At 44.0% G+C, this 12047-nt stretch overlaps 1 annotated feature.

The window, feature by feature from the left end:
- Positions 2952-3053: a silencer, noted in NCBI's record as "fragment chr22:29275395-29275496 (GRCh37/hg19 assembly coordinates)". NCBI's record gives its function as "represses an EF-1alpha promoter that drives an FKBP-Casp9 reporter gene in an ReSE screen in phorbol 12-myristate 13-acetate-treated (for megakaryocytic differentiation) K562 erythroleukemia cells {active_cell/tissue: K562(+PMA)}" and the evidence as "EXISTENCE:reporter gene assay evidence [ECO:0000049][PMID:32094911]".

The following is a 12047-nucleotide window of genomic DNA, read 5'->3' as shown; positions in this document are numbered from 1 at the left end:
TATTTGGTTAGGATGAATCTGCTTCTACTTGCTACCACACCCAAAATGTTAAAAAGACAAAAAGAAAGAAAGAAAACTCATTAAGAATTTTCTTGAGTAAACAACTTACCAAGGTTACATTTTAAAGCTGAAAAAAAAAATTTAACGTGCAACAGAAAACACACTTGAAAAAAATCCACAGATCTCTATTACCACATTTGGACCACCCAGAGCTTCCGCTCAGGAGGGAGGCACCTGGGAAAGCAGGACTCTGGAGGGAGTGGCTTTTTAGTTTCTCCAAAACCGGGCCTAACCAGTGCTGCCTGCAACTGGGCACCATTGGTCCTGACAATGACCCCTACAAGGTCTTATTTTTTTCATTTAGATATAGCGTCTCCCTCTGTCGCACAGGCTGGCGTGCGGTGGTGTGATCACAGCTCACTGTGCCCAAGTATCGAACTTCTGTGCCCAAGTATCCTCCCAGCTTAGCCTCCTGAGTAGCTGGGACTACAGGTGCCACACCCAGCCTCCATCCAGTTCTTAATTAAGGGGGAGGGCAAATCTCTATAGCTCATGGATGACACTTTGCGATATTTAAAATTCAAAGGCACACACCACCAACTGATAAATGGATAACCAAATGTGGTCTATCCCTGCAATGAGATATTATCCATCAAGAAATGAAATACTGGCTGGGCGCAGTGGCTCACGCCTGTAATCCCAGCACTTTGGGAGGCCGAGGCGGGTGGATCACGAGGTCAGGAGTTCGAGACCAGCCTAGCCAACATGGTGAAACCCCATCTCTACTAAAAAATACAAAAATTAGCCGGGTGTGGTGGCAGGTGCCTTAATCCCAGCTACTCGGGAGGCAGAGGCAGGAGAATCGTTTGAACCCGGGAGGCAGAGTTTGCAGCGTGCCGAGATCAAGCCATTGCACTCAAACCTGGGGGACAAGAGCGAGACTTCTCTCAAAAAAGAAAAGAAAAGAAATGAAATGAAATACTTGGCTGGGCATGGTGGCTCACGCCCGTAATCCCAGCACGTTGGGAGGCCAAGGCTGGTGGATCACCTGAGGTCAGGAGTTTGAGACCAGCCTGGCCAACATGGCGAAAACCCATCTCTACTAAAATTACAAAATTTAGCTGGGCATGGTGGCATGTGCCTGTAATCCCAGCTACTCAGGAGGCTGAGACAGGAGAATCCCTTGAACCCGGGAGGCAGAGGTTGCAGTGAGCTGAGATCGCACCACTGCACTCTAGCCTGGGCGACAGAGTGAGACTCCATCTCAAAAAAAAAAAAAAAAGGAAATGAAATATGAATACATGCTACAGCATGGATGAACCTTGAAAACATTATGCTAAGTGAAAGAAGCCAGACCCAAAAGCCCACATATTCTATGATTCCATTTATATGAAATGCCCAAAATAGGCAAATCTATAGGACAGAAAGTGGTTGCCAGGGGATAGGGGGAGGCAGGAATGGGTAGTGACTGCTAATGGGTTTCTTTGGAGGGTGATGAAAATAGTCTGGAATTAGATAATGGTGATGGTTGCACAACTCTGTAAATATACTAAAAACCACTAAATTGTACACTTTTAAAGGGTAAATGTTGTGGCATATGAATCTTTTTTTCTTTTAGAAACAGGGTCTCACTGTCAGGAGAGTGCAGTGGCGCCATCACGGCTCACTGCAGCCTCCACCTCCTGGGCTCAAGTGATCTTCCAGCCTCAGCCTCATGAGTAGCTGGGACTACAGGTACACACCACTACACCAAGCTAAATTTTTAATTTTTAATTTTTATTTGTAAAGACAGGGTTTTGCTACATTGCCCACATTGGAATCAAACTCCTGAGCCCAGGCAATTCTCCCGCCTGAGTCTCTCAAAGTGCTGGGATTAACAGGCATGAGCCACCACACCTGGCTGGCATGTGAATTATATCTCAAAATAGCTGCTAAAAATATTTCCATCTGGGCACGGTGGCTCACGCCTGTAATCCCAGCACTTTGGGAGGCTGAGGCAAGCAGATCACTCGGCAGCAGGAGTTCGAGACCAGCGTGGCCAACATGGTGAAACCCCGTTTCTACTAAAAATACAAAAACTATTCCGGTGTGGTGGTGCACACCTGTAGTCTCAGCTACTTGGGAGGCTGAGGCGGAGGTTGCAGTGAGCCGAGATTGTGCCACTGCAGTCCACCCTGGATGACAGAGCTAGACTCTGTCTCAAAAAAAAAAAAAAAATCCATCTTTAGTGGTATTTTCATGCAAAACACACACACACACACACACACACACACACACACACACAGGATACAGCATAAGGATATCCTCTGCTCTTTGAAGTCTTAGCGCACATTTCACACCCTCAACAGGGACTACCCTGGCAATGCTATTTTAAACTGCAACGTGCCCCCTGTCATCCACTCCTATCCTCCCTTGGCCTGCCTTCCCCTACCCCTGTGGCATTTATCACCTTCTAACATACTAAATAATTTGCATATTTATTTTTGTCTGTCCTCCACACCCCACATGCACACATACCAGAGAACAAGCTCTGTAATGAGAGATCTTTGTCTTGTTCAGCGACTTAGGCCGAGGCTGCCTGACCCAGAGTAGGCACTCAATAAATATTTGTTGCATGAATTAATAACTAAATGAATGAGTGATAACCTCATCAATTTGTATCCCTCCCATTTTGCAAACATTTGGGGCAGCTTGTTAACAGCTGCATTGGAGCATTGGGCTTCATGGGACCAAAATAAATTCTGAGTGTGGAGAAGAATGACCATCCTTTCCTCAAGAAATGCAATGCAAACCCACGTAAGGGTCAGAGAACAAATCAGTTTTGATTTTTTAAAGTCTGCTTAAAGAAAGATATGAGGCCGGGTACGATGGCTCATGCCTGTAATCCCAGCACTTTGGGAGGCCAAGGAGGGCGGATCACTTGAGGCCAGGAGTTCGAGACCAGCCTGGCCAACATGGCAAAACCCCATCTCTACTAAAAATACAAAAAAATTAGCCAGGTGAGGTGGCACATGCCTACAGTCCCAGCTGCTTGAGAGACTGAGACAGGAGAATCGCTTGAACCCAGGAGGCAGAAGTTGCAGTGAGCCGAGATCACGCCAGTGCACACCAGCCTGGGCAACAGAGTGAGACTCTATCTCAAAAAAAAAAAAAAAGAAAAAGAAAAAAAGAAAGAGAGAGAGAAAAAGAAAGATATGAAAGCTGGGCACTGTGGCATGTGCCTATAATCCCTGCTACTCAGGAGACTGAGGTAGGAGGATCCCTTGAGCACAGGTGTTCAAATCCAGCCTGGGCAATATGGCAAGACCCCATCTCTCTCTCTTTTTTTTTAAATTTTATTTTATTATTATTATACTTAAAGTTTTAGGGTACCATGTGCACAATGTGCAGGTTAGTTACATATGTATACATGTGCCATGCGGGTGTGCTGCACCCATTAACTCATGGTTAATGGGTATATCTCCTAATGCTATCCCTCCCCCCTCCCCCCACCCGACCCCATCTCTCAAAAAGAAAAAGGAAGAAGGGCCTGGGCAACATAAAGCGACCACCATCTCTACAAAAAAAAAAAAAAAAAAAAAAAAAAATTAGCCAGGCTTGGTGGTGGGCAGCTGTGGTTCCAACTACTTGTGAGGGTAAGGTGGGAGGATCTCTTGAACCCAGGAGGTGGAGGCTGCAGTGAGCTAAGATCGTGCCACTGCACTCCAGACTATGCAACAGAGCAAGACTGTGTCTCAGAGAGACAGAAAGAAAGAGAAACATAGCGTTAATAAAATATAGTTCAGCAACACAGAGGTAGCATGATTCATCTTTCAGCAGTGTGAAGCTGTTCAGAAAGGAATTATTCACTGAGTAATGAAGTTTCACCAAAATCTGGCAGGCAGCAAGGGGAGACAGAAAATAACTTCAAATAAGAGGCCGGGCGCAGTGGCTTAGGCCTGTAATCCCAGCACTTTGGGAGGCTGAGGCGGGTGGATCACGAGGTCGGGAGATCGAGACCATCCTGGCTAAAAAGGTGAAACCCCGTCTCTACTAAAAATACAAAAAAATTAGCCGGGCGTGGTGGCGGGCGCCTGTAGTCCCAGCTACTCGGGAGGCTGAAGCAGGAGAATGGCGTGGACCCGGGAGGCGGAGCTTGCAGTGAGCTGAGATTGCGCCACTGCACTCCAGCCTTGGCGACAGAGCGAGATTCCGTCTCAAAAAAAAAAAAAAGAAAAAGAAAAAGAAAATAACTTCAAATAAGAGATAAGACCCGTCAGCCAGGACAAGGAAGGGATCCACAAGCTGGACCAAGTGATAGAAGAGAAGCGCATTCATTATCTTGTATGGCACATCCCTAGCAGATCATCCTGGGTGTAATTTAGCTTACACCTTTTCTTGCTTATCAGACACAGCTCAGAAGCAAATAACTGAGAACAGGTGCATCAGCATTGGCTAAAGCTGCCAAACCTTTGGCAAATCTCACTGACTTAGGCCAAAAACCACACAAAGCTTCAGGAAATTTTCTACTAGCAAAGTTCTATTTATATGTCTAAATACGGAAGTTCAGGGATTTCAAATTCATAAACATATGATTTAGTACCTAAAGAGACTGTATCTGTGCCAAATAAATACAGATGCATATGGCATTCTACAACAGAAGAGGGATGGGTGAGTAGACAACAGATACATTAAGGTTTGCAAACATTACCTACATATGGAAGGAGACATTAGAAACTAATAAATGGTTGTCTCGGGAGAGGCATCTTGGTGACTGGGAGGCAAGGAATCAAGGGAAACTTACTTGTCTCTGAAAAGTCGGCCCTCCATTTCTGTGAGTTCTGCATTCATGGATTCAATAAACCATGAATAGAAAATATTCAGGAAAAAAGGGGCGGGCATGGTGGCTCACGCATGTAATCCCAGCACTTTGGGAGGCCGAAGCGGGCGGATCACGAGGTCAGGAGATTGAGACCATCCTGGCTAACACGGTGAAACCCCGTCTCTACTAAAAATACAAAAAAATTAGCCGGGCATGGTGGCACATGCCTGCAATCCCAGCTACTCGGGAGGCTGAGGCTGGAGAATGACGTGAACCTGGGAGGAGGAGCTTGCAGTGAGCCGAGATCGCGCCACTGCACTCCAGCCTGGGCAACAGAGCAAAACTCCATCTCAAAATAAATAAATAAATAAAAATAAGGTGGCTGGGCACAGTGGCTTACCCCTGTCATCCGAGCACTTTGGGAGGCCGAGGAGGGCAGGTCACGAGGTCAGGAGTTTGAGACCATCCTGGCTAATATGGTGAAACCCTGTCTCTACTAAAAATACAAAAAATTAGCCGGGTGTGGTGGCAGGTGCCTGTAGTCCCAGCTACTCAGGAGGCTGAGGCAGGAGAATCACTTGAACCCGGGAGGTGGAGGTTGCAGTAAGCCGAGTTCGCCCCACTTCACTGATGCCTGGGGTACAGAGCAAGACTCCATCTCAAAGTAAATAAACAAATAAATAAATAATAAAGTATACAGGAAATGTGTGTAGGTTATATGCAAACTGTACACTTTTTTTTTTTTTTTTTTTTTTTAAGATGGAGCTTCGCTTTTGTTGCCCAGGCTGGAGTGCAATGGCGATCTCGGCTCACTGCAACCTCTGCCTCCTGGGTTCAAGCGATTCTCCTGCCTCAGCCTCCCGAGTAGCTGGGATTACAGGCGCCCGCCACCATGCTCAGCTAATTTTTTTATATTTTTAGTAGAGACGGGGTTTCACTATGTTGGCCAGGCTGGTCTTGAACTCCTGACCCCATGTGATCCGCCCACCTCACCCTCCCAAAGTGCTGGGATTACAGGAGCAAGCCACCACACCTGGCCACTGTACACCATTTTATATTAAGGATTTGAACATCTGCAGATTTTGGTATCTGCAGAAGGTCCTGGAACCAATCCCGCATGGATACCAAGGGACAACTGCATATCCTTTGTACCTAGTGAATTTTGCTTCACGTGCATTTTGTTACATATTCAAAAGTAATAAAAATAAAAAGACTAACATGTTAAATCAGCTGATGATAACATTCATTTCCTATATGCAAATAGATTCAATAAACTGTATTGAACACCCATGTGTGCCACTGGAATATGAAAACAGATAGGCCTATAGTTATGGAAGATGTCACCATTGGAGAAAGCTGAGTAATGGGCTTACAGATGCTCTATGTACTATTTCTGCAACTTCTAATTATTTAAAAATAAAAACTAAATTTAAAAAATGGGGCCGGGCACAGTGGCTCACACCTATAATCCCAGCACTTTGGGAGGCCGAGGCGGGTGGATCACAAGGTCAGGAGATCGAGACCATCCTGGCCAACATGGTGAAACCCCGTCTCTTCTAAAAAATACAAAATAATTAGCTGGGCATAGTGGCGGGCACCTGTAGTCCCAGCTACTTGGGAGGCTGAGGCAGGAGAATGGCATGAACCCAGGAGACAGAGCTTGCAGTGAGCCGAGATTGCGTCACTGCACTCCAGCCTGGGCGACAGAGCGAGACTCCGTTTCAAAAAAAAAAAAAAAAAAAGACCAGGGCGGTGGCTTACATCTGAAATCCCAGCACTTTGGGAGGCCAAGGTGAGTCAAGTGAATCACTTGAGGTCAGCAGTTTGTGACTTGCCTGGCCAACAGGGTGAAACCCCGTCTCTACTAAAAAAATTAAAAAATCAGCCTGGCATGGTGGCATGCGCCGGTAGTCCCACCTACTCAGGAGGCCAAGGCAGGAGAATTGCTTAAACCTAGGAGGCAGAGGTTGCAGTGAGCCAAGATCACGCAACTGCACTCCAGCCTGGGGGACAGAGCGAGACTCCATCTCAAGAAAAAACAACAAAAAGCTAAATTTAAAAAATGGATTAACCAGTCTCTGTATTCAAGTAGTTCCTTTCTTTTTTCATTTCTTCCTTCTATCTGCAAACATTTATTACTATATGGGACAGATAAAGAAGTCAATAAAAGATTTTAATAAAATCTAAGTACACATTAACATTTTACAAAATAATTTTAAGACTTTGAGCCTTATGTTGCTTCTTTAAGGTGATCCAGATGTACGACATGCTAGCATTCTTCTACAGTATTTATATCTATTTCTGGAAACGTTCGTTTATTGTATTTAAACATCATATAATTCTCTTGAAAGGCACAATAGATGTTATATAGACAAGTAGCGGCAGTTCTTTCAAAACTCTTAGAAGTATCTCTTTGGCCTTTGAAGTATGCCATCAATCTATGTCTACTTTGAGCCTTAAGGCAGAAAGCCAATCTAGGCCCCAGCTCATCAGTAGTTTAAACCTTGCTTCAACCTGCCCCTGATTTGCAATGGCTGCCCAACTGGGAGTCACAAACTCCAAGAGTGCTCCAGGGGCCAGGCAGGGAATGTGACTGAGTGAAGTGGGCCAAATGTAAGCAAAAATAACCAGCAAATGAGATGGTAAATGACAACAGTGCTTCAAATGGTAACACCCTTGGGAGTGGTGGCCTTGGGAATGCATGGCCAGTCCAGAGGGCCACTCCAGCATGTCACTGCTGTGGGGAATGTGGACCTAAGATGCACAGATCTTCTGATTTGTTCAAAAGAAGTAAAAATTCATATTTGTTTGTAGCATCTCCTAGTTTTTAAATGTTCGCAATAGATTTTTGTTGTTGTTGTTTCGGAGACGGAGTCTTGCTGTGTCGCCCAGCCCGGAGTGTGTTGGCGCAGTCTCGGCTCACTGTAGCCTCTGCCTCCTGGGTTCCAGCGATTCTCCTGCCTCAGCCTCCTGGGTAGCTGGGATTACAGGCGCACGCCACCAAGTCTGGCTAATTTTTGTATTTTTAGTAGAGATGGGGTTTCGCCATGTTGGCCAGACTGGTCTCAAACTCCTGACCTCAGGTGATCCGCCTGCCTTGGCCTCTCAAAGAGCTGGGATTACAGGCGTGAGCCACTGTGCCCGGCCTAAATGTTCGTGACAGATTTTTAAAGATTAGTATTGCTGTGGAGCTAAATGAATACATCTACAGGCCATTTTTGACTCAAGAGACACAGAAGAGAAATTAGACAAAGTAGACGCTGATTGGACCAAGTGGTAAAATGATCACTTCTAAGCTATTAAGGTGAGGAAAAGGAAGAAGTTCCAAGATCTCACAAGTATAAATACTGCACTATATATAGGATACAGTTGTATTCGTGGGCAGCACCCTTGACCACAAGAGGCATCTGTCTTCAGGGTGCAGCATTTAATTGAAGTGGAAATGTAATCATATGCCTACTTGGCCAAGAAAGGCTGATGATGGATGAGGGATCATCAGACCTTCAAAAGATAGGGAAGTCAGGTTGCTTTTACACTGATCGTATCTCTATTTGAAGATAAAGAAAAAAGGATTGGGAGAAAACATCAGAAGGAAATAAAGGCCAATTACTTGCTTATGTCCAACAATATCAGACAGGAGGGCTTACCACAGAGGCGAGTTAATAGGAAAGAAGACAGTTTGGGTGAGAATATACACTCCATTCACTGTGAGTGGGAAACAACAACAGCTTGCAGGGAGGTAATAATGAACAGGAATTACTGACTCAACATCCCTTCCTAGGGTATCATCCTTCCTGGCCCATGCTATCTCTGGGGGGATGTCAATTACAGAGCTCAGTATCCCAACATAAGTGGGCATGTGACTCAGACTAGCCAATCAAAGCACTGCACTCCCCTAACTACAAGCATTGGTTCAGAAGTGGGCATGTGACCAAGGCAGGACCAATTAGAATCTTCCCTGAAATATGATCTATAGCAATTTGGGAGAGAAATCTTTCTTCTCCTCTCGCATCTCAAACTGTAAGGATTATGTAAACTTAAGCTGTGGCTTTTTTCCTCAACCGCATAGAAAATGCTGCTGTCGCTGCTGTTGCTGCTGCAGGAAAAAGGAGCAGAGACAAGCTGAGATGAGATAAATAAGAAGAGGAAGGATACTGGCTGCATCCATTGAGCACTTGGATCCATCCCTGTAACAAAAGACTCCTGACAAATACAGCTGTAAAGCTGACTAGTTCAGTGACTAGCAGCAGCAATAAGAGGTAGACACTCACATACAACATATGCACCAACAAACCAAAGAAACTGAGATTGAGGTGGATCAAGAAACCCAAACTTTGCTAAAATCAGTTGAGTCAAATATAGTTTCACTTTTCAATCTCTAGTATGTACCTCTCAAAGAATCTTTTGCAAATCAAGAAAAATGAAAAAGATTCCAAAGCCAGAAACCTAAAATAAAGAAGTGCTCTTTGTATTAATTAAGTGAATGAATGAACAAATACTCAGACTAGACTTCCTTATCATTTATTTTTAATTTTATTTTATTTTTCCTGAGACAGAGTTTCACTGTGTTGCCCAGGCTGGAGTGCATTGATCATAGCTCATTATAGCCCCAAACTTCTGGGCTTAAGCCATCCTCCCACCTCAGCCTCCTGAGTAACTAGAACTACAGACATGCACCTACCACACCTGGTTAACTTCTGTTTTGTTTTTGTTGTTTTTGTTTTTGTTTGTTTTGTTTTGTTTTTGAGACAGAGTCTCGCTCTGTTGCCCAGGCTGGAGTGCAGTGGTGTGACCCAGGTTCAAGCAATTCTCCTGCCTCGGCCTCCTGAGTAACTGGGATTACAGGCGTGAGCCACCATACCCGGCTAATTTTTGTATTTTTACTAGCGATAGGGTGTCACCATGTTGGCCAGGCTGGTCTTGAACACCTGACCTCAAGTGATCCACCAGCCTCGGCCTCTCAATCACGCTGGGATTACAGGCGTGAGCCAACATGCGTGGCCTGTTTTTGTTTTTGTTTTTGTTTTTGTAGAGACAGGATCTTGCTTTGTTGCCCAGGCTGGTCAAACTCCTGGCTTCAAGTGATCCTCCCACCTCAGCCTCCCAAAGTGCCACAGGCCTGAGCCATCATGTCCAGCCTCCTTATCATTTCAATTGAGGGCACTTAGAAGAAATAACTCACAACATAGAAGATGACAAATCCGTCATCTCCAAATGTGACATGGAATTCAAATAGGCCTCACGTTTTATTGCTGAAAGACACCTTAGAGATCAGAAAACCAAGACCTAGAACCTACAACAAGCTAATAGATCAATAAAAGTACACAGCATGGAGGTGCCCAGCCTCCTACACGGTCTCATGTATACACAGGTGCTATCTGGCAACAATTAAATACTGAGCACAGACATGATGTGGAAGAGGGATATCCCACAACCTTGCCTTCTTCGTTTGTGTATTTGGGGCACTGGCTTGCAGCAGTGCCACTTTCTTTGGTGTTGGTCAACTAGAGCCTTAAGGCTTTTGGAAGCTACAGCCACAAGGATCGAGAAAGCCTACTTTTATTCTACAGATACTTTCACAATGGTTTGCAAAGATTTACACTATATATATGTATATAGTATATAAACAGTATATACACACATACATTTATAGTGTATATATACTGTACATCTATAATATATACTATAGATACAGTATATACCACATATTGTATCTATACATATACTGTATATACAGTAGATATAAGGTTGATACTATGATATACTGTATATACTATAGATTAATAGTATATATACTATATAATATATACTGTAAAGATTTATAGTACAGACTAAATCTGTATATATACTGTAAATATATATGTATATGTGTATATTACATAGGTATCACATATACATATATACACACATGCATATATACATATTTTTGTTTTACAAAAAACGAATATGTAACCCTAAGATTCCATCTCATGCCCCTGCCTTCCCCTACTTAAGTTATCCATTATTTTGAATCCCTTGCTTCCCTTTTATATACTGTCTTTGCATCTGTATGTAATCTCAAATTTTATTTTTATTCATTTTCGTTGCTTTTACTTTTATAAGAGTATCATAATGAATATCATCTTTTGGGACCTTTCTTTATTTTTTTCCACTTCATAGTGTATTGATAATCTTTGTCCATATTATCAAGTCATTGGAGTTCACCTGTTTTGACTCTTGTATAGTGTTTCATTGCACAGATAATATCAGAGTTCATCCATTTCATTCTTCTCTTGATGGACATTCGGTCTATTTCCAAGTTTTGGATCTTGTGGAGCAAAAGTTTTTTTATCTAATACTTCTCTTAACATATAGTACATGTTAATACTATTAGCCTGTTTTCACACTGCTATAAAGAAATACCTGAGACTGGGTAATTTTATAAAGAAACGAGGTTTAATTGGCTTACAGTCCTGCAAGCTGTACAGGAAGCATACATGCTTCTGGGGAGGCCTCGGGAGCCTTACAATCATGGTGGAAGGTGAAGGGGAAGTAGGCACATCTTACAGGGCCGCAGCAGGAGGAAGAGAGAGAGGGAAGACGCTACACACTTTTCAATAACCAGGTCTCAGGATAACTCACTCACTCACTGTCAGCAGAGCAGCACCAAGGGGATGGTGCTTACTCATGCATGAGAACTCCATACATATGATCCAGTCACCTCCCACCAGGCCACCTCCAACACCGGGGATTACAATTCAACATGAAATTTGTTGGGGACATAGACCTAACCCATATCAACATGTCATATTTTACAATAGCCTGTAGGTTATTTTCTTTTTTTTTTTTTTTTGAGACGGAGTCTCACTCTGTCACCCATGCTGGAGTGCAGTGGCACGATCTCAGCTCACTGCAACCTCCACCTCCTAGGTTCACGCCATTCTTCTTCTTCAGCCTCCCAAGTAGCTGGGACTACAGGCGCCTGCCACCACGCCCAGCTAATTTTTTTTTTTTTTTTAGTAGAGACGGGGTTTCACCGTGTAAGCCAGGATGGTCTTGATCTCCTGACCTCGTGATCCGCCTGCCTCATCCTCCCAAAGTGCTGGGATTACAGGCATGAGCCACCGTGCCCGGCCTGTAGGTTATTTTCAAAGTCCTAGTTTTCATTCTGGATGGTGGGATCGTGGGTCTTTATTATATTATTAAAACTCGTTAACTGGCCGGGCACGGTGACTCATGCCTGTAATCCCAGCACTTTGGGAGGCCA

Source organism: Homo sapiens, chromosome 22 (genome assembly GCF_000001405.40).
Source record: "Homo sapiens chromosome 22, GRCh38.p14 Primary Assembly".
NCBI classification, from domain to species: domain Eukaryota; kingdom Metazoa; phylum Chordata; class Mammalia; order Primates; family Hominidae; genus Homo; species Homo sapiens.
The sequence above is the reverse complement of the archived record's forward strand: the minus strand, read 5'-3'. Positions and strand labels throughout refer to the sequence as shown.